The sequence below is a fragment of the Homo sapiens genome, chromosome 7, assembly GCF_000001405.40.
Source record: "Homo sapiens chromosome 7, GRCh38.p14 Primary Assembly".
Taxonomy (NCBI): domain Eukaryota; kingdom Metazoa; phylum Chordata; class Mammalia; order Primates; family Hominidae; genus Homo; species Homo sapiens.
In genome coordinates this window covers 107,010,059-107,033,901 of record NC_000007.14, presented here as the reverse complement: position 1 = coordinate 107,033,901, position 23,843 = coordinate 107,010,059, and the positions used below count along the sequence as shown (strand labels likewise).

General features: G+C 40.2%; 3 annotated features.

The window, feature by feature from the left end:
* Positions 8,075-8,271: a transcriptional cis regulatory region, noted in NCBI's record as "candidate enhancer chr7.4048 targeted for multiplex CRISPR interference". NCBI's record gives its function as "positively regulates PRKAR2B gene expression with high confidence in K562 cells {active_cell/tissue: K562}" and the evidence as "EXISTENCE:mutant phenotype evidence [ECO:0000015][PMID:30612741]".
* Positions 23,375-23,843: a transcriptional cis regulatory region, noted in NCBI's record as "candidate enhancer chr7.4046 targeted for multiplex CRISPR interference". NCBI's record gives its function as "positively regulates PRKAR2B gene expression with high confidence in K562 cells {active_cell/tissue: K562}" and the evidence as "EXISTENCE:mutant phenotype evidence [ECO:0000015][PMID:30612741]".
* Positions 23,519-23,642: a transcriptional cis regulatory region, noted in NCBI's record as "TAD6.SE3.HS2 sgRNA1-sgRNA3 range targeted for Mosaic-seq CRISPR perturbation". NCBI's record gives its function as "positively regulates PRKAR2B gene expression in K562 erythroleukemia cells {active_cell/tissue: K562}" and the evidence as "EXISTENCE:mutant phenotype evidence [ECO:0000015][PMID:28416141]".

The window sequence follows — 23,843 nt, the reverse complement described above, 5'->3', positions numbered from 1 at the left end:
GAACAGTTTACCATTTACCCTGCTTCAGGGTCATAGTATCTTTTGTTTGTTGAACTGTATGGTCTGCTAAATTCTGTTTAGTCTTTCTCTTGCCAACAGAAACAGATTGCACATGTATCAAAGCACAAGGGAATACTTTCAGGTGTTTAAAGTACATTTTATTTACCATTTTAAAGGTAGACATTCTACATTTTCCAATTCTTTTACTGTACAAGTTCTAGAACTTGTAAAATCACACACAAGCTAGGCCTACCTAGCAGACATAGAGAGGGGTATGATTTGTAGTGGATGTATAGATCTTTTTCTATCTGCAGCATATTGTGCATTAATTAATGTTTTTATTCATCAATGACAAGTCTTTGGTGTTATCCCTCTACAGATGACTCCAAAATAAATGAAATTTTTCATTCAATCTTCCCTCTTAACCACCAAGCCACAATTTCATTTACCTCCTGGAAGACTCTGCATATGGGTACATTGCCAACACCTCAAATTCAATAACCAAACTTGTCAGGAAAAAAAACCTAGCTCTCTTGCAGTGAGCCAAGATCGCACTACTGCACTCCAGCCTGGGCGACAGAGTGAGACACCATCTCAAAAAAAAAAAAAAACACAAAACAAACAAACAAACAAAATCTAGCTCTGTGCTCTCAGAATTGTTCTTCCCCGTTATCATTCTCTATCTCTGTAAGTGGTGTCATAACACCTTCTAGTCTCCGGCTTAGACTCTCAGAGCCACAGTTGACTTTCGCCTCTGCAAGGGCCAAAGGAGAAAGTTCCCCTTGGCCCTCTGAAAGTTCACTGAAAAAAACTCAGCTCACAAAAGGCAGATTAATAGCAGAAATGGCATACAAATTTACTTAACATGTATACATGGAAGCTTTCAGAAGGAAGACCCACAGATACAGGAGAAATTGCCCATTTTTATGCTTAGGTTCAATTCAACAAAGTATGGACGGCCATATAGAAATATGACCGGACAAAAAGATTAAGATCTGATGTGAATAGACAGAACGGGGAACCTCAGCAAGGCCTGTCTGTCTAGATTCTTCCTGGCCCCTGAGTGTGCATTCTTTCCTTCTGGGTAGAGGGCAGGACCCTCTGTGGAATGGGGGTCTTATGACCTACAGTCAAATAAGGTCAGATAATTTTCTTTATAGCAAGCTTTTACACAGAAAGGCAGAGTGAAAGTTAGAGTAATATTTTTAGGTTTTATGCCTATCTTGGGGGAAAAGGGGTTCTGGTTTCTGTGACCTACCTTGGAGAAGAGGGATTCTAATTTCTATGGCTGGCCTTGGGAGACAATGGGACTGAGAGACAGGACAGGAGAGGCCAAAGAACACTTTTGCTTCTGAAGCCTTCATTTTACGGCATTGTTTTCTGAGCCCCAACATCTCTCATGTCCCAAAGCAGATTGGTTGTCAAGTCCTGTCAATTCTACTTCTGTGGTACCTTGCTGACATTTGTCTTCTTCCTGCCGTTTCTAATGCCACTGTCTGTCTTAGTTTGCTCTGGCTGCCATAACAAAGCACCATAGACTGGGTGGCTTAAACAACAGAAATTTATTTGAATGGAGGTCCAAGATCAGGTTGAGGTCTGGTGATGGCTCTCTTCCTGGCTTGTAGATGGCCACCTTCTCACTGTGTGTTCACATGGCCTTTTCTTGGTGTGTGTGCATGGAGAGAGGGCTCTGTTGTCTCTTCCTCTTCTTATCAGGCCCCCAGTCCTACAAGGTCCACCCTTATGACCTAATCTAACCTTAATTATCTCCTAAAAGCTCTGTTTCCAAATGCGGTCACATTGGGGGTTAGGACTTCAACATATGAATTTGGAGCAAGGGACACAATTCAGTCCATAGCACCATCCTAGGCTGGGTCTTCATCACTTCTCATCAGGACTGTTGTCTCTCAGTTAACCATCCTGTCTCCAGTCTTTCCCATTTCTAGTTACACATTATTACTTGAGAAATCTTTTCTGGGTACATTTCTGTTTATGTCATTTTCTGCTAAAAATAAAACAAAAAATTTCCAATGGCTTTGTATTTCCTGGAGAATAAAAGCAAACCTCATTATCATGAAATCTGAGGACTTCCATAATCTGATTCCAACCTAATTTCCCAGCTTTAGCTCAAAGTCTCCATCTTACCATTTATACTATAACCAAACAGGAACACTTGCCTTTCTCTGAACATACCTTTCAATTTCCTGTCTCCGTACCTTCACTTACTATGTTTGCCCCACTTGGAAATCCATACCCATCCTCCCCAGTCAAAAATCCTACCTCCTGCTCAAGTGCCACCCCATCATGAAGACTTATTTCACCCCTTGGCCAGAAGTAATTGCTGTCTATGTTGTACATTCTTTTGTACTTGTAACTTTTTGTTTCTTTGGGCATTTGGTCTCCCTTTGGAAATAATGTATTGGAAGATACCTGGCTTGCACACATGATAGAGCAGGATCCTTAGCGGTCCTTAGGCGTACCTAGCAGGCATTCAATGAGTATTAATAAATACTCACTGAATATTATATGAATTCATTTCAGTGTTTATTAATACTCACTGGATATGATATGAATCAATTAATGGAAATGATAATATTTCATAATCAAATGACATAAGATAGTATTTAGATTAGTGATTTTCAAGCTACATTAATTGGAGCCATATTCTATTCCATACTTCAGGCTTTGACAAAATATTTCATTTGAAGAAAGAGTTTTGTTGCTAAATATTCTAAACCATTGATCTTATTCATTTCCTTCAATTTGTAGTTGAGAGAAGCGAGGCCAGATGGAGGTTAAAAATGACAAAACCAAGGTTTTCCAACCATTTACTAGCAGAAACAGAGTCAGCAGAATATATATAAACCATATCAACTAGAATGATCTGTTTGTAGAGCAGCTTAGAGACCTCATTCTTTTCTAAGACATTACCCTGCCACAGGGAAAATTAAGAAAGAAATCATCCTAACTCAGTGAGGACACCTAAGGTTAAATTTTGTTAAATCATTTCTTGTAGGCACCACTGGTACTTCAAAACTATGAAAAATTTCATTTTCCTAAGAAATGTGTTACTCCTCATGGATCCTAATAGAATAAGGGTGTTGTCTTAAAAGATTGGACATAAGCTAAAAAATAAAAATAAATAAATAAAAAAAACACCTCACAGGCCTTCACTGTGGCTCATTCCTGTAATCCCAACACTTTGGGAGGCTGAGGGTGGATAGACGGCTTGAGGCCAGGAGTTCAAGACAAGCCTGGCCAACATGGCAAAACCCCGTCTCAACTAAAAATACAAAAGTTAGCCAGGTGTGGTGGCACACACCTGTAGTCCCAGCTACTCGGGAGGCTGAGGCAGGAGAATCACTTGAACCCAGGAGGCAGAGGTTGCAGTGAGCCAAGATTGCACCACTGCACTCCAGCCTGGGTGACAGAGAGAGACTCTGTCTCAGAAAAAAAAAAAAAAGAAAAATAAAAAAGTCACATAAACTCTTTAAAATATAAACAAGCACTGAGGGAAGATTTGAGCAATTCCCCAGAATTTCTCAGGGGCTATGTTAAAGTAAGATCATGCAATAGTTATAATACCAAATATACCTACTGCTTGCATATGCTTGCATATATGATAATGTTATAATGACATTTCTAGCTATTGCTAGTTTTTTAATTATTCTTCTTTGGAATTTCTTTAAACGAGGCCCTTCTCAAGTTTTCCAAGAAACGAGGAAGGATGGAAGAAATATAGAAAGCTTCCAACAGTATTGTTTTTACTGCAATGTTACTTTCCAGTAGTAATTCACTCTTAGCAGCCCAGCCTGACAATGCTTATCTATGTATTTAAATAGAACCTGCCACTTAAGGAACTAAGAGCTCTATAAAGCATGCCTTTTTTGGCACGAAATAATCCAGGGAGGATGGAAAGCTATTGGGAAGAGAGTTGAAACCTGAGTTTATCATCAACAATAATAATAATATGTCCAGGATGCAGTCCTGGGCCAATTTATGTATTTAGATTAGATGTTCTATTTTTGGAGCACATCCCAATGAATCAAAAACATTAACGCTGAGACCTGCAGTAAGCAAATGAATAAGAATAAGCCTTGGAAGATATTTGAAATGCAACCATTCTCCAGGATTTAAAACTGTAGAAAGTTACCTGTTTGACATAGATTAAGGAACATATCCTTTAATAGCTGCAGTGACTCTCTGAGAGAGAGCTCATCCATGAACTCAACATTATTTATAGCACTTACTCTGTGCAAGGCACCATGCTAGAAGTTATGGTTACACCAAAGGACAATTAGGATAGAGGCAAACTGTTCCTGTCCTTATATCCTGGTTGGAGAAACTGACATTAAACAAAAATAGAAAACAAATTACATAATTATGAGAAATATAAGATGGTCTGAGAGACTATAAACTGGGATACTTAATTCAGAGGTGAGTGGACATGCGTCCTTTTTACCGATTTGCTGGTATTGGGCAGAAACGCATCATTGTTTGCTATTAAATAGAGCCTGAGAATGTTATCAGCAGGGCTGCAATAGAGAGAGCAGCTGATACCATTATGCAGATCCTTGGTTTAGAGCCAAAGCCCCCGAGACAGCAGTTGGCAAGATGTGGCCATTTTCCATAGGGTTGCCTCCCCTAAAACACATCTATCTCCCCACAGTGTGCAGGGCCCTGTCTGATCCTCCCAGCGGGCTTTATTGCATAATTGCAGGAGCCTCTGATTCTAGCAGAAGTGGGACAGACAGGTCAGCATTAGTCATGAAAAATATACTTGACAATCTTCTTTTTTGTTGTTGTTGTTTTACTTTTAAGCTGCCAATGCTGTGTTCATAAAACTTCATAAATACGTTTAAAACAAATTTTTCTGGGTGATAAAAGAAAAAACTTGAAACATTTACAATGTATTTATCAAAAGCCAATCTCTTCTCTTTTCATTATTTATTGATAGGCTTCTTCTACTCATTTTTATAGTTTGCACTTATTGTTAATATAACAGGAATCTAAATATAAATATCTTCAACCTACTCTTTATGTATTTTTTGTTGTGAGCTTTTATTTTTACCCCTTAGAGAGAGTTTCTTCCTAAAATCTGGTTGCACTATTTTGTGTCAAATAATTCCTTAAAAATCCAATTATTTCTGTGTTCTTGTGTTACATTCTCTGTCACTCCTGTCTCCTACCCTCTTTTCTTTTTCTTTGAGACGGAGTCTACCTCTGTCACCCAGGTTGGAGTGCAGTGGTGCGATCTCGGCTCACTGCAAGCTCCGCCTCCTGGGTTCATGCCATTCTCCTGCCTCAGCCTCCAGAGTAGCTAGGACTACAGGCGTCCGCCACCACGCCTGGCTACTTTTTTGTATTTTTAGTAGAGATGGGGTTTCACCATGTTAGCCAGGATGGTCTCGATCTCCTGACCTCATGATCCTCCCACCTCGGCTTCCGAAAGTGCTGGGATTACAGGCGTGAGCCACTGCGCCCTGCCGCATCTACCCTCTTTCCACTTTCTACTTCTTTTTTTTTTTTTTTTTTTTTTTTTTTTTTTTTTTGTCAGAGACAGAGTCTTGCTGTGTTGCTCAGGCTGGTCTCAAACTCCTGAGCTCCAGCGATCCTCCCTCATTGGCCTCCTGAGTAGCTGGGGTTATAGGCGTGTACCACCACACCCAGCTTACTTCTTGCTATCTCTTTGAGTAACAGTTCCTGAACAGAACTCTATTAATCCTCTGTTCTCTATTCATAACTTCCAGAAATCTTTGTTATTTGGCTTTCCTTAAAAAAAAAAAAAAATCACTTCTGAGTCTGTAGTCTTTCTACAAACTTAGACCTAAATACCTAAAGTTTCATTATTTTCATTCACTATCACTATAGGAAATTTTCTACAGAGAGCTATCCCATTCTATCTTTTCCCTCCCTTGAGTCAAGATCAGTCTCAATTGGCTAATCTCTTTTACTCATGCCTTCCAAGTTGTGTTTGGGTTCATTGACAGCCCCTATAACCACCCTACCCCTCCCATTTCCTCCATTCAACCTTAAAATTAACTGACCTCTTTCCTTCCTTCCCCTTTAGTTACCCAACACTTTTCAGTTTTTAGACAGATTGAACATAACATTTTAAAATACTGCTTTTTTTTTTTTGAGACAAAGTCTTGCTCTGTTGCCCAGGCTGTAGTGGAGTGGCGTGATCTCCACTCACTGCAACCTCAACCTCCTGGGTTCAAACAATTCTCGTGCCTCAGCCTCCCAAGTAGCTGGGACTACAGGTGCCCACAACCATGCCCGGCTAATTTTTGTATTTTTAGTAGGGACAGGGTTTCACCATGTTGGCCAGGCTTATGTCAAACTCCTGACCTCAGGTGATCTACCCGCCTTGGCCTCCAAAAGTGCTGGGATTATAGGTGTGAGCCACTGAGCCTGGCCTAAAATATTGCATTTATTATGTCTTGTTCCAGCCCTAATGAATGTTCCTTCTCCTTTGGGGAAGTTGTGGTATGTAGTTGACTGTGATGCTCACATACAGCGTAAATTACAATGAAATCAGACAGAAGGAGCACTGAAGTCTTGTTCAAATCTCAAACTCTCTCTTACAAGGTTTGGGACTCTCTGGGTCTCAGTTTTTTTCTGTAAAATGAAGGAATTGGATACCAGATAATCTCTAAAACTCCTTTTAGGTCTAGAGATCTATGATTCTATTTATGTCTCAATAGAAATACCTCACATTCAATACAATGTACATACCCATAATTTTAAACTCTGCAGGAAGTCAACTTTGTTCAATATTCTCTTTAATATCCCTTACAGTTTTTGTTTTGTACCATTTTTGTCTTTTCAGAAAATCAGATAATTAAGATTTTAATGAAATTAATTTTTCTTTTCTTATTCTTTAAAAATTTTTTTCCTCTTTCCTGCCTCCATCACTCTATAGTTGTTTATACTGAATCTAGACCTATGTATTTGTCACCAAAATGAAAATAGAATCCATCTGTTCCTGTCATCCTTATAATAATATTATTTTTGTAGGCTACAACTTACATGTGCTCTTTCCTCTAGTTATATACAGTACTGGCCTTAAACCCAAAGTCCAATTTTTAAAAATAATATTTAAAATAATAATAAGGTTGATCATAGAATTATTTGAAAAACAAGAAATTTTGCATAGTCCCAATATTCAGAGACAACAACTGTTATTTTTTAAAAATAAATTTGGAATCATACTTTATATTTTTCTCCTGATGCTTAGATAACAAAATAGACTGCCTCTACCATTTTTAATTCTGTCCCCTTTTTATTTATATACCTTCACTTTTCCATAAACAATAGATTCCTAAGCTGTAATAACCCTTCAGTTTCACTGATTATGCACAGAAATTTTTGCTTATTAATGTTTCATTAGCATTTTTCTCATGCAGTATATTTTCAGTTTCTGTTGTTATTCATATCGCTGAGGATTGCATGAATATTCGTGCCTTATTTCAAGCTCTATCCGTAATGTATCGGAATGCTAATCACATTTTGCCTAGCATTTTTGTATATTTCACACAGTTAGAAGGCAACCCATATGCTGGCTCTGTTTTTAAATGATTTATGCCTGATTGTATTGACTACTGTCTCCTGAGACAAAAGCACTAGTTCAAGCTCTTTTAAGTTATTCTGTTATTGGCTTCAAAATACTGGAAATTCTAGTCTGTCATCTTCTTGTAACATTATTTAGGCCCGAGGTATTATCCTGTTGCTGGCTACCATTAGTCTTTGCAGTTAAATGATGAAAAAAATTTTAGTCTGAATTGTAAAATGTTGAGTGCCTCTAATTTCTACTATTCTTTTGTTAGTTTCCTTAAATGAGATAGCAAAAAGCACCAGTGTCATGGATTTTATTATTTCCCTTTTCCCAAAATCAAACTGAATGTATCTGCCAAAGCCTTATTTTAACAGTAGGGGAATTATTTGCAAATGCTGTGGTAAGCCAATCTGTTCCAGGAACTCTCTTTTTCCTCATGAACTTTATTATGCTTTCTAACTCTCAGCTGTTTGCCTCTGCCATTTAAAATCCAGTCTCCCATTAGGAAAATAAAAACAGTACAATCCCAGAACATTAGAAGGAATCTTATTTCATCCTGCTTTAAGATTACTTGCATAATCATAAGAGGCTGTCTTGCAGAGCTGGATGGTGTGGACATTCATCATTCTGTGGAAGACTTGGGGTCACTCACAGAAATTGCTGACTCATCTTTTGTTTTTTTTGTTTGTTTTAGAGACAGTGTCTCTCTCTAGCCCAGACTGGAGTGCAATGGCATGATCATAGCTCGCTGCAACCTCCAACTCCTGGGCTCAAGTGATTCTCCCACCTTAGCCTCCTGAGTAGCTAGGACTACAGGCATGCGCCACCACACTCAGCTAATTTTTTTATTTTTTGTAGATTTGGAGTTTAACTTTGTTGCCCAGGCTGGTCTCAAGCTCCTGAGCTCAAGTGATCCTCCTGCTTTGGCCTCCCAAAGTGCTGGGATTACAGGTGTGAGTTACCACACTAGCCTCATCTTTTTTTTTTTTAACTGATATTTATTTATGTAAATAAATAAACATTTTCTCCTTTATCTGATTTACATCTTTTAGTATATCTCTGAATAAAGCTTTTACTTGAGTCAGTGCCATTTTTCACCTTTCATAAATGTGTTTGTCCATTTCTTCTTTAATTTCAGCGATTTTTTTCCTCTCTGATACATTCCCCTTCTTTTGGCTGCCCCCTTGGTGTTACACAGAGATGGCCCCCTCCCCAGCCTGCCTTCCCCCACATTGCCATCTCTATCTCATGATCTGACATGCCTCACCAATTTCGCATACTCTAAGGCATTTTCCTCAATGACTCTTCTGATTGCAAGCACAAGGAACAGCTACTCTCACTATTATCTTTCACACTACATCTTTCACAAAATTCCTTACTTTGTATGATATTCACACTTCTTTAGTTTTACTTTTCTCTTTTAATGTTTGTTCATTGAGAGTGAGAAGATGAAAGCTGAATGGAAAAGGAATCAAAGAGCATTTTTTTTTAAAGTCTACATTTAGAATGAATGATAGCTACCAAATATCAGCATGAACAACTAGGGGCCTTTCAGCAGAAACTTCAGAGGACCCCCTCATCCTGTATTAAATATAATATGAGGCCACAAAAAGAGGGGTTCATAGGGAGACATCTATACTTGGCAAGCAGGACTATGTGTATGCGTGTGTGTGTGTGTGTGTGTGTGTGTGTGTGTGTGTTTCATGAAGGCTCAAACCATAGGAATAATTGTTTGACAAAGTGAACAGCTACTCTTCATTGAAATGAAAACTTTCGTTATGGTGGTTAGTGACTGTAACTTTGGTTATTTTATGGAGATTTACTGGTCTCTGATAGCCATCTCCACCCCAAATATTAACACTGAACCAGAAGAGCTTCCTTTAGCCTCTAGGCTCCCTGAACTTCCTGCAAAGACTGTCACAAGAATTCTAGATGGAAGAAACAACTCTTGGAGCTTGGAGGCAGTTTTAGTATAAAAAAAGATGATAGAGGACTCAGCATTTTTTTTTTCTGAAGTCTATAAATTGTGTGTGTGTGTGTGTGTGTGTGTGTGTGTGTGTGTTGAAATTAGGAATGGTGAAGGCTCTTGATTTCAAAGCTCAGTGGCATAAAGAGTAACCATGTTCTCTCACAAAATTTTTTCCATCTTCATAAATAGAGTATTGGGCTTCTGTAGACCATAATCTGACCAGAGTGGCATTTTGCAAGTGTTTAAATTGTAAAACATTTTTTCTTGGATTCTTACAAAAACCTTGACATTCTGTGCTCCAAATGTGTTGGTTTGGCAGTTCCTCAACTCATCAGCCTTTTGTGTTATCTAGTTATTCTCTTAACAGTTTTTGGCAGTGGTGTGCAAGAATGTTCTACAAGCAGTATTTTTTTTTCTGATGACTTTTTCTCTTTGTTTTTTTTTTTCTGTCTTTCTTTCCCTTCCTTGCCATCTTAATGAACTTTTGCTCCATAACAGATTACCCTCAAACTTAGCTATTTAAAACAACAAACATTTATTATCTCACAGTCTCTGTGGGTTAGGAATTCAGGAGCATATAAGAGAGGTTGTTCTGGCTCTGAATCAAAGTCAAACTGTTTTCCTTGGCTGTGTTCATCTGAAAGCTGGACTGGGGCTGGAAGATCTGCTTCCAAGATGGCTCACTCAAAAGGCTGTGGGTAGCAGTCTGTAGTTCCTCTCCACAGCATTGCTTGGAGTTTTACTTTTGTGTTCTCACAACATGGCTGCTGGCTTTCCCCAGAGCAAGTGTTTGAGAGAAAGAGAGAGAGCAAGGAGAAAATCTTATTTCCTTTTATCCCCTAATTTAGGAAGTGACACACCATCTTTTCTATCATATACTGTTCATTAGAAGCAAGTTATTAAATCCAGCCTATATTCAAAAGGAGAGGAATCCAGCTCCACCTCTGGAGAAATAAAAAAAATTTTTTTTTTGAGATGGAGTCTCGCACTGTCACCCAGGCTGGAGTGTGGTGGCGCAATGTCAGCTCACTGCAAGCTCCACCTCCCGGGTTCAAGTCTCCCCAGTAGCTGGGACTCCAGCCTCAGCCTCCCCAGTAGCTGGGACTACAGGCGCCTGCCACCATGCCTGGCTAATTTTTTGTATTTTTTAGTAGAGACGGGGTTTCACTGTGTTAGCCAGGATGGTCTCGATCTCCTGACCTCATGATCTGCCCACCTCAGCCTCCCAAAGTGCTGGGATTAGTGGCATGAGCCACCACGCCCCACCTGGAGAAATCATTATTAAAGAAATGGTTTACACATTAAAAAATCACCACACCTACCTTCTTTTCCCTCCCTTTATGGGAATTCTTGTTTGATGAAAAAAAAACTGGGGTAAGACAACACCAATATTGCTTTCTTCTTCTAGAAATAAAGATAATGTCCCCAGAGGAAACACAGTAGCAGAGAATTAGGAACCAGAAGGCCAAATTTACCCTCAGTCCTGTAGTTAAGGAACTTTGTGATTTTGGGTGAACCACTTCACCTTATCTGCCTCAATTGTATTCATTGTTAAGATCTAGACACTCTTTAAGATTCCTTTTAAATCCAAAATTCTATTTTACTTCCTATATTTATTTTGCAGGGAAGTATTACTTAAAATTTGCTCTTTTAGAGCCCCCGAAATGAAATTTCTAGTTCTTTGGGTCTCAATCACTATATAATCCAATTAGTCACATACTCTGCTCCAGTCTTATTTGGCTTTACCTCCCATTGGTGATATATGAGTCTAAAATCAATATTCTACCTATATCAGGGTCCCAACAGGAAAGAGATGGCAAAAGCGAAGTAGACACTGAGAAGAGTTAAATAAAGACATTATTTACAATGATATGGACAGGGTTCAGGGAGACCAACAAGGGACACTGCAATATCTTCAGGCTGTAACACCAAGGAAATATTACCACTCTGAGGCCCAAACTGGAAAAGGAAGACAACTATTACTGAAGCTCAGAAACAAAGAGGGCCCTAATGACAAAAGCTGTAATCTTTGGTCTGGATATGTAACCTGTTTGTAGTGATCACATAAGGAGGGAACTGAGGGATTAAATATCTTGACATTTTCCTCCTTTCCTTTCACCTCTGACATCTCATTCATTGGCCAAACTCAACTTTGGCTGCCTAGAGAATAGATCTAGTACATGGAAAATAGTCAGCACACCTCCAAAACAAGGTTAAAATTACACTCTGAATATAAACATGGAAATAATTAAAACATGATAAATAAAATCAGAATTACATAGGGAGGGCCCAATAGGTTGTGAGTACTCAAAGGTAATCTGGAGGATCTATGTATGTGCCACCTTAGGGGGACAAGATTGACGGATTGTAATTGCACCTAAGAGAAATTATATTTAGTTAATTATATTGTACTCTGTCTGGAAAATGAATATGTAAATGTAAGTAGGGGGGTCTATAAAATGGATATTGAGAAAGAGGGACTGTGATAGTCCCTCTCTCAGTGCCCAGAGGGACAGTGCCTTGAGCCATGAACACAGATATCTTCTGTGAGGCAGATAATGGTTGTACAGCGCAGATTAGTGCACTGGGCTATCACTGCTTGGTGACACTGCATTAAGATCATGTAGCTCACCCCCGTTCTTATGATCCATTCTCTTTGAACAAGCCATTGATGGCAACCTGGCTCCCGCTTAGATTTGTCTATTATGTAAGAATATGCTGATCAGAGAATCCAAATAGCCAAGTCTTTCAGAATTGTTTTTTTCAGTATAAATCAACAGATTGGTCTTCTGGTGGTTGTGCCATTGTGAGCTTGGCTAAGGTGTGTCCATCCCTAAGAGGTATACATGGATGGGGGACCAGATCAGATTTCTGCTCCTACAAAGCCCCAGAGGCAGCCTCTGGATTGAGGGAACAACCAGCATGGAATTCAAGTCAGCCTGTTAGTGCCCGCCATGTGCTTCCCAGCCCCTGCACTTACCCTGTCTTGGCACCTGTCACGGTTTTTGTTTGTTTGTTTGTTTGTTTGTTTGTTTAGACAGAGTGTCGCTCTGTCTGCCAGGCTGGAGTGCAGTGGTGCAATCTCAGCTCACTGCAACCTCTGCCCCCTCGGGTTCAAGCGATTCTCCTGCCTCAGCCTCCTGAGTAGCTGGGACTACAGGCATGCGCCACCACACCCGGCCTGTCACGGTTTATTATAATTGCTTGTTGTCTGTTTCCATTGCTAGGCCCTAAGCTCTGTGAGGACAATGACCATGTTAATAACTATTTGTTGAAGTGGATGAATAAAAGAACAAATGAACTTGTCAAGGTATGTTTGCAGATCTTCCCAAAAGTTACCCAACTTCATTCTGCATTTTTTTACCCCCCGATAGGAAACAATCATTCTGCAAATTTTATTTAAACTCCAGCACCTTAAATTAACATCCTGCTATATGGCTTATTTGGAGCTCTTATTTTCCCTTGAACTTGGCTCCCTCATAGAGCATCCTTCTGCTTTATCTTTCACCATCCCTCATTTGGAGCTAAGTCCTAATCCGTTTTCATCTCTGACAATAGTTTTCGCTTGTGCCTTAGCCTTTTTCATTTCGCTTCCCCATAATGCTCTTAGCTAGGCCTGCTTTGATCACATTTTCTCTTTTTAGTCCATTCTTTCTGCCTTTTTTTTTAATAACTAGGTGCTCAGAATTTCGGGGTTTTATTCGTTTCCCCTTTTTTTGCTCTTGATTTTCTTTCCATTTCTATTCCTTTCCCCTTTTTTTGCTCTGGATTTTCTTTCCATTTCTATTCCTTTCCCCCTTGCTCTCACTGCCTTGAATTGTGTTTCCCAGGCCCTTCCCCCTTCTTTGCTTCGACTTGCTCCTCCATCCATTTCAAGTGAGGCCTGATTCTTCCCTTTTGTCGAAGAGCCTGTATGTTCCTGGTTATGGCTGCTGCCAGTGGTTTTATGCCTCACTGCTCTTTCCTGGATCTGATAAATTAATTTGATATGCTACTAAAGAAAGGTTTTATAGTGCAAATTTTCAAAGATAAATAAAAGTGGGGAGAATAATAGAAAGACAGGAGTTCTTTCCTGTCAGCTTCAGCCATGATTAACATTTGCCAGTTTCTAGGTGTGACCTTCTAAGATTTTTGCCTTACTAAGCTACTACTCTCTATGCCTTCAACCCGCAAGTAGGAAGCAGATCATAATCAGATGCCCTCCTGAACCATGGAATATCCAGGTAGACTTGACTGCCTGCTCCCTTCACACACTCTGAACAAATCTCTGGAGAGCTCTCAGCGCGCTGTTCTGTTACGAATTTTCTTCTCTCTCCTCTTCTTGACTATGAACTCTTTAATGGTAGCAGTTTTATCTTCTTCATCTCTAGCACCTTGCACACAGTGCATGACACTTAGTGGCCCTTCACAAAGACATTGTTGAATGAATGAATGAATAAAAAACTGTGCTGCAATGACTTATCTCTATTTCAAGTTTAAAAATTCAGCTATTCTGGTCACCTCTCTGCAATGGTCTACTCTCCCTTACCTAATTTCCAACTTTTTTCTCTGAAGAAATGCAGTTTCTTGGCTGGGCATGGTAGCTCATGACTGTAATCCCGGCACTTTGGGAGGCCGAGGCAGGCGGATCACAAGGTTAAGAGATCAAGACCATCCTGGCCAACATGGCGAAACCCTGTCTCTACTAAAAATACAAAAATTAGCCGGGTGTAGTGGCGGGCGCCTGTAGTCCCAGCTACTTGGGAGGCTGAGGCAGGAGAATCACTTGAACCCGGGAGGTAGAGGTTGCAGTGAGCCAAGACCGCGCCACTGCACTCCAGCCTGGTGACAGAGTGAGACTTCGTCTCAAAAAACAAAAAAAGAAAAGAAGAGAAAAAAATGCGGTTTCTCACTCAGTTGATATAGGTTATGTGTTTTGATATCATCATTGATACAATATCTGCATTCTATATAGCAATCATTTGGTCTCTAAATAATATAATCACCAACAATGTAGCACTTATTATGTGCCAGGCACTGTACAAAGTCCTTTGCAGATGTTATCTCTATCAATCCTAAATCGCAAAACCCCATGAGCTGGAAACTAGATTATCTCCATTTTCCAGATAAGAAAGTCAACTTTGGGAGCCCGAGGCGGGCGGATCATGAGGTCAGGAGTTCAAGACCAGCCTGACCAACATGGTGAAACCCCGTTTCTCCTAAAAATACAAAAATTAGCCGGGCGTGGTGGTGCACCCCTGTAATCCCAGCTACTCAGGGGGCTGAGGCAGGAGAATCCCTTGAACCTGGGAGGTGGAGGTTGCAGTGAGCCGAAATTGTGCCACTGCACTCCAGCCTGGGTGACAGAGCAAGACTCTATCAAAAAAAAAGAAAGAAAGAAAGAAAGAAAGAAAGAAAGAAAGAAAGAAAGAAAGAAAGAAAGAAAGAAAGTCAAGATACAGGGAAATAAATAACTTGTCAAGATCATATCACCAATGAGTAAAGGAGTCAGTATTTAAACCTAGATCTATTTGATTCCCGACCTAGAGCATCTAACCACTATGCTTACTACCATGGAAGTGGTCTTTATTTTTGGTTGGCTTAGTGCTATTTGTGTCCAGCCAATAGCTCTAAATTTTCTCTCTAGAAACTTTGTCCAAAATAAATAAGCAATCACTCTATTCCTAACGCTTAAGCCATGCTCTTTTTGCTCTTTCACCCTTGGCAATGGAATCACTGCAAATATGTCTCTTGAAGTCTTCCCCAGTGACTTTATAATCTGGGTTCCCACACAATATCCTCATGCAAGCACTTGTTGACTGCTTTTCATCTTATCTTGATGACAAATAGTCCTTCAGAAGGCTTCATAATCTATTCTTTCCTTCAGGGACTGAGTAAGTCTTTTCCTTCTCCTTGTAGAAACACAAGTCCACACTTTTTTCTTTTGTTGCTGAATTCTTCTACCTTTACTTGTTCCATCACTTCAGTCAACCTGGTCTTCAAATCTTCCTGTCTTGGGCTTACTTACTACTTCATGTCTCTGACTGCTAGAGTAGACATACATTGTTGTGTGATCAGTATCACTTTGGGGCATTACCCTTCACACTTATCATTCTCAATCCATGCGTTCTGGTGGAACTGGCCTTAACCCCTGCTCTGGAGGTGGACACATAACCAGGCCTAGCCAATGGTAATTACTTCAGCCATAGTGATTGCATCAGGATGGCCACATGACTGATGATGAACCAATCAAATCCTTTAAGGAACTTGTGCTATCAAGCAAGTCACTCTTGAAATTGCAGGTACCAAGGATGATGTAAACCTGAAGCTGCTGGTGGCCATCTCTGCCACATGTGGAAAGAGCCTGCTTGACAATGAATGGAGCTCTCACAGAGGATGCAGTATTAAGAAATGGAAAAATAAATACTCCTGACCCTGTAAATTAAAGCACGGATCAAACCATGCCTAAAGTCACCTCAACCTCTGAACGTGAAAGCCATCAACAGGGAAGAATTCTACAGAGTAGATCCCAGTTACGAAGAGAAACACAACATCCACCTTCATAAAATGTAAACACTATATTTGATTGGGCGTTATGGGACGAGGCAGATATAAGAGTAAGAAGTTTTAAGCCATGCCCTGAGCTGGCCTGAGGGGCTCCATAAAAGTTCCTTTGGAGCCACGATGGAAATAAGAAAGCTGGGCTAAGAATAGTTCTGAATTTATTTTCCATACTGGGCTTCAAAACAAGGCTTCTGAAGAAAGGCTCTCTCTGTTGCTCACAAAAGCAAAAACAAAAATTTTTGGAAATCATTGACACAACACTCATGTTAGTTCTCCCAGAAACCCAACTTCTACTTTCTAAATCCTGCTTTGCATCCTATTTTGGCCATATTTACATCCCCAACTACACAATCATTTAATTGCCTTTCATCCTTTTTTTTTTCTCTCTCTTGTAGTCACTTGGGGGTGATAAATCAGGCTTCTCCTCCACATACTCCTCTCTCCTTTCTCATAGGTGTCAGCCAATTCAGATATACAATAAAATTCAAATTCAGCAAATACTTATTTGCTGTACAAGGTAGTACGATGTGCTATATTTTGTAACATTCATTAAATCTTTCAACTCCCTGAGAGGTAGGTAGCTATTGATATTTAAGTTTGATGAATGCGGTGAAGTGATCATCTCAAAGGTCACAAGGCAAATTGTTGACAGAGCTAGAAATACAACCTGGACCACAGTCAGGTATATATGAAGAGCCCAAACAGATAGCCTTGGATTTAAATCCTGATTTGTTACTTACTAATTTTTGGAACTTGAGCAAATGATTCAGCCTCCTTGAGCCTCAGTTTTCTATCCATAAAATGAATATCCTCTACTTCATAATGACATATGTGGATTATATTAAATAATGTACTGAACACATTAGCACAAAGCTTCCTCAGCAACTGTTAGTTTCCTTCCACTCCACCAGGAAATACCTAGGTTCCTCTATCCATAATGATTTGCACATTAAAAAGGACTCTACTAAGATGTTAACTCCCTTTAAATACTGTTTTACATTTAGATGCTCATACACGCAGAACGTATTATGCTATAAGTCGTTAATACTTAGTCATTTCTTTATTGATATGACTCTCTTTGGCCAGGAGACAGCAAAGGCCAGTGACTCTGGATTCTCAACACAAGGACTCATTGTAGAAAAGAATCAACACCAAATTATTTTGCACTTTTATCTGACAATGATGAAGAGGGGAGGACCCACAGACTTTCAGTAAATTGTGACCTCTTTTCAGCCATGTGAATCCAGCTATCATTCACTAAATCTGCAATTGTATATTCAAGCCTAATCTATGCCATACAGTGTTCTAGGGGCTGGAGATACAGTGTGAACAAGACAATCCAAGTGTGTGGGAAGAACCAGAAGAATACGAACGATTCCTGCATGCTACCCTGCTACCCTCCTGCCCTTTTTGGCCCTTATCCTTGGTGCCGTAGTTTAGGGTGGGGAGTAGAAACTTACGTTGTTGTACAGCTGAGCTAAGGATGATTTTACATTTTAAGGAGGTCCTATGTAGCCTGCAAAGTCTAAAATATTTACTATTGGCCCTTTACAGAAAATACTTGCGGACTCCTGGTTTAGAGTGACCTGTGTCATTCATCAAGACTGGGGTAAATGGTTTAATCCTATGCCTATTAGAATATTTTTTATTAATAATTTGTTATTTATGTAAAACATTATTATTATTGACTATGATTGTTAAACAGTATTGAAGAATAAAAAGTGACTGAGAGTGGGAGGGTAGACTTTTTATATCAATTTTGTAAGAAAATAATTTCTTTTGTAAGTCACTTGACTATAACTTGTTTTCCTTGACTACAACCGCCACATAAAATATGGACCTTCCAGGCCCGGCACAGTGGCTCATGCCTGTAATCCTGGCACTTTGGGAAGTCGAGTGGGTGGATTGCCTAAGCTTAGGCGTTTGAAACCAGCCTGGGAAATATGGCAAAACCCTGTCTCTACTAAAATACAAAAAATTAGCCAGGCATGGCAGTGCGTGCCTGTAGTCCCAGCTACTCAGGAGGCTGAGGCATGAGAATCGCTTGAACCCGGGAGGCAGAGGTTGCAGAGAACCGAGATCACGCCACTGCACTCCAGGCTAGGTGACGGAGTGAGACTCCGACTCATAAAAAGATAAAGAAAAGGAAAAGAAAACAATATGGACCTCCTCTATATAACTTTTCTGGGGATTTTCTATTTCTTTTTTCCTGTACCTACTATGGAGGATTAGAAGATGACCCAGAAAAGCTATGATAAGGGGGAAGAAGAAGAGAAGTTAATTTGCCATTACTTGTGCCCTTTGGCCTTTACTACTTAAAAATTCCTAAATGTACTCTACGTTTCTTCTTTGTGCCATATTTATTAAAATAAAACACTCCTCCTTTTATTTTTTATTTTTATTTTTTTTGAGACGGAGTTTCCCTCTTGCTGCCCAGGCTGGGGGGCAATGGCATGATCTCAGCTCACTGCAACCTGTGCCTCCCAGGTTCAAGTGATTCTCCTGCCTCAGCCTCCCAATTAGGTGGGATTACAGGTGCCTGCCACCACGCCCAGCTAATTTTTTGTATTTTTAGTAGAGATGAGGTTTCTCCATGTTGGTCAGGGGGTCTCGAACTCCTGACCTCAGGTGATCCACCCGTCTTGGCCTCCCAAAGTGCTGGGATTACAGGCGCAAGCCACCGCACCCAGCCAATAGTCCTCCTTTTATTTGTCTAAATGGTTCTCAGGACTTTCCCTCATTCATGCAGCCATATAATTTCCTGACTTTCCTTTCAGTAAGGATCACTGGCTAGCAGGAACTTACTCTCAATGGCTTGGCTCGTTGACATTTGCTCCTAAGGGTAATTCTGAGCCCAGGAGTTGCACCCTCTTCTTTCTCCTGTAAACTGCTTCCAGGTAATACGACTCTCAGTGCCCACCCTGAGCTTGTGATAGGCTGTCCTGGTATCACCCTATTATAGAGGAGACTGTGCCAAACTAAGCTCACATTGCACATGATTTGATGAGTCTTGCAGCTCTAGCCACGAGTATCCTGGCTTGGGTATCAGCAGACTAATTCCAGTGCCTCTTCCTCTGATTTGTTGTTGCATTTGGGCCAGCTACTTAGCTTCTGAATGCCTAAATGTTCACGTCTGTAACATTAAGATAATGCCAACTTTCATTTCAGCTTCTGGGAATAGAATTACACCGTATAGGAACATTGATGTTCCCATGGTAACAGTCATGTAAAGTATCTAGCATGCCACTGGAGGCAATAAATTATAAGTACGTGTAACAATTCCTAACTGACACGGTAATAAAAAATTCTTACAGGAAATCCTGGGGATATACTTTCACATTAATTTACATTCATTATTTCAAGGAGAGTTCATCATTCTGCTCCAAACCACCTAATTCTAAATTCACAGAATAAAATCAGTTAGCACACCCTGGAGCTGCTGAGTTCAAAAGCAATACAGAATGCTTCCATAACCTGTGTAAGGGGAAGGAAGAGAATGGCTTCCTGGGACTATGTATTAAAACCAGGGAGGAGTCAATGGGTATGGCTTGCCTAGGAAGAGATGGCTCCAACTTTCAACCATCTGAAGAAAACAGGAAATATTAGGCAGTGCTACCAAAAACAAATTTGTTGTAATATTATTGTTACTATTATTTGGAGGAACTTTAAATATACAAAAAAACAAAAATATAATAATTATCATCATCCAGAAATGATCAATATTCACATTTTGGTTTATAGCCTTCTCATCTTTTTTCTATACTTATATTTTTTCAAATATTGTTTTGTAACCTGCTTTTTGATTTGTGAGCAGTTTTCCAGGTCATTAAAATTTTTCCAGAACATAATTGGCTGAATATAGCATCATGAGGATGTCACAATTTATTGAAGCAATTCGCAATTATTAAACATTAGCTTGTGTCCTGAATTGGCTTTTAATTAAAATCAATTCATGTATCAGTGTGAGACCTCATACTAATCTAGCTGACATATTTTAGACCTACCCATGATCCATCCATAACACTTCAATTACTTACAGCACTCTCTTTCTTCCTTCCCGGGCTCTTGTTATCAGCCAGATACACCCAAAGTTTTCTTCAAAAACAAATTCCCAAAAGGAAAGGGCTCTTAATTGAATTTTGTTTTTCCATTGTCTTTGGTCCTTGTATTTGTATATCTTGTGCCTAAAACATTGTTTTCTTTTATTTATTTATTTATTTTTATTTGAGACAGAGTCTTGCTTTGTTGCCCAGGCTGGAGTGCAGTGGCGTGATCTTGGCTCACTGCAACCTCCACCTCCCAGGTTCAAGCGATTTTCCTGCCTCGGCCTCCCGAGTACCTGGGATTACAGGCATGTGCCACCACGCCCAGCTAATTTTTTGTATTTTCAGTAGAGACGGGGTTTCGCTATGTTGGCCAGGCGGGTCTTGAACTCCTGGGCTCAAGTGATCCACCTGCCTCGTCCTCCCAAAGTGCTGGAATTACAGATGTGAGCCGCCATGACCAGCCTTTTGTTTTCTTTCTTGATCTTATTAAAAATTTTTTTTGTTGTTCCTGAATTCTTACTTCCTTTAACTACAATATTGATCTCTTTAACTCCAAATTCATTCTCTTTTGATAATGTTATTTTTGACTTTCTCTTTTAACTGGGATTTTGTTCCCTAACTAACCCAGCAGATCTCAAACTTTTTTAGTATCAAGATCCCTTTAAAAATTTATTGAGGATCCCAAAGAGCTTTTGTTTATGTGAGTTGTATCTATCGCTGTTTACCATATTAGAAATTAAAAGTGAGAAATTTCAAAAATGTTTAATATTTAAAGTAACCAAGCCAGGCATGGCGACTCACGCTTATAGTCCCAGCACTTTGGGAGGCCAAGGTGGGAGGATTGCTGAGGTTAGGAGGTCGAGTCTGCAGTGAGCCATGATCGCACCACTGTACTTGAGCCTGGTCAACACAGTGAGACCCCATCTCAAAAAAAAGTAACAGTAAGAAACTTACTACATTTAACATAAATAAACATTTTATGAAAGATAACTATATTTTGCAATGGGAACATAAATTTAGTGAGAACGCTGGCATTGTTTTACACTTTTGAAATCTCCTTAATGCCTGCCTTAAGGATTCTCCTATCTGCTTGGCATCAACACTGTTTCCACACGTTGTTTTGGTTGAAGCATATGAAGAAAATCTTGCCTCACATAGATATGTGGTTGGAAAAAGAAGGACTGACCTGCAGACCCCATGAAAGTTCTCAGGAACTCATAAGGATAACTTGCCCACACTTTGAGAACTGCTGCTCTAAACTGTCTCTAATTACTGTATGATCTTTAATGCTTCAGTTTCTCTTTTTGTAAAAAATGGGCAAACAATAGTATATCAAAGTGTTCTGAAACTTTAACATGAAAAATGCTACAGTGATAGGCAGAAATCTACACCTGTACATAAAATAGGAAAACACTTCCTTTGGGGCATGTTGGAGACATGATGCTGCCCCCAACATGATTACTAAACAAATTGGTGGCCAGGCACCGTGGCTCATGCCTGTAATCCCAACATTCTGGGAGGCTGAGGAGGGAGGATCACTGGAGCTCAGGAGTCCAAGACCAGCCTGGGCAACATGATAAGATGTTGTCTCTTTAAAAACTAAAAAATAAAATTAGCCAGGCATATTGTGGACCCAGCTACTCAAGAGGCTGAGGCAGGAGAATGACTTGAGCCCAGGAGGTTAAGTCTGCAGTGAACTGTGACAGCACCACTGCACTCCAGCCTGGGCAAGAGAGCAAGATCCTGCCTCAAAACAAAAAACAAAAAACACAGTGGCTCACACCTGTAATCCCAGCACTTTGGGAGGCCAAGGCAGGAGGATCTCAAGGTCAGGAGTTTGAGACCAGTCTGGCCAATAGGGTGAAACCCCGTCTCTATAAAAATACAAAAATTAGCCGGGTGTGGTGTCGGGCACCTGTCGTCCCAGCTACTTGGGAGGCTGAGGCAGGAGAATCACTTGAACCTGGGAGGCGGAGGTTGCAATGAGCTGAGATAATGCCAGTGCACTCTAGCCTGGGTGACAGAGTGAGAATCCGTCTCAAAAACAAAAAACAAAAAAACAAAAAAACAAACAACAAACCATATTGGTTTACCAACATAGTTTATAAAGCAAGTTACTCTTTGCAATAGACATTTAGGTTTCACACATAACCACTGCAACACAAAATTGGGAATTTTCCAAATAAAATCAAGACAGTTCTTCATGTAGTTTTGGTAAAAATAATTTTTTTCAGGAGCATAAGGTATGAATTCTGGCTCAATTTCAAAATGGAGGCATATTTCTCTGAAACCCGCTGCCTAGTTATCTTGGCATTGTTTGCTGTGTAAAATGGACTCATGCTTCATTTCTTGGAAAATGTTGAATGTGTCTCGTTTTAACTTAATGAGGTCAGGGAGGAACTAATCACTAAGGGACTTTTTGTTTGTTTGTTTGTTTGTTTGAGATGGAGTCTCGCTCTGTTGCCCAGGCTGGAGTGCAGTGGCACGATCTCGGCTCACTGCAATCTCTGCCTCCCAGGTTCAAGCCATTCTCCTGCCTCAGCCTCCCGAGTAGCTGGGACTACAGGTGCCTGCCACCACGCCCGGCTAATTTTTTGTATTTTTAGTAGAGACGGGGTTTCACCGTGTTAGCCAGGATGGTCTCGATCTCCTGACCTTGTGATCCGCCCGCCTCGGCCTCCCAAAGAGCTGAGATTACAGGCGTGAGCCACCACGCCCGGCCCACTATGGGACATTTTTAAGTCAGAATATAAAGTTTCTCATGGTAGACCTCATAATGAAGTCTGTGTACCGCAACTGATCCACTATAAGATATGATGATTGTCATATAACATTCTCTACAGTGGTTTTGATTGTGTGCACTTGGAGTTGAGGTGTAAAACTGGAATGTTTGCATCCTTCATGGGACCTATTTCACAACAATGCACATTCTGCTTAATCAGATACAGTGACTCAGTCTGTAGAGGAGGGATTTGGGGGCAGGATGGCACAGAATCCTGTCTTTAATCCCCACCCAGAAGTCAGTAGCCTGTCCATCCTTATAAAAGCCTCATGGTGGACTCGGTGTGGTGCTCACGCCTGTAATCCCAGCACTTTGGGAGGCCGAGGTGGGCGGATTACTTGAGGCCAGCCTGACCAACATGGTGCAACTTTGTCACTACTAAAAATACAAAAATTAACTGGGCATCATGGCGCATGCCTGTAATCCCAGCTACTTGGGAGGTTGAGGCAGGAGAATCGCTTCAACCTGGGAGGTGGAGGTTGCAGTGAGCCAATATCATGCCACTGCACTCCAGCCTGGGCGACAAAGTGAGACTCTGTCTCAAAAAAAAAAAAAAAAAAAGCGTCATGCTGGTGACTCTTGTCTTTTTAGGGCCAACGGTATTTTTCTTCCATCTGCCCCAGATCCGGATTTTATCTCAACATGCATCCCGTGGTGTTGAAGAGTAGTTGCAGTCTGAATTTCAGAGAGACTGAGTTGTGTTTGCATTTGGAAAAGGGAGATAATGGTCAATAGGAATGGATGAGGACAAAATGAAAATGGATATGAAAGTGCTTTGAAAACACTTTATGCTTCATGTAAGTTAAAGAATTGTTTTTATTTTTATGCCTAAACCCTCCTTATTGTGAGGTATTGCGGCAAACAGGGACGCACCAGGCCTGGAGGTTTTTTGTTTTGTTTTGTTTTTCATTTGCTTCTATCGGTCTAGGGAAAAAGAACATGCTG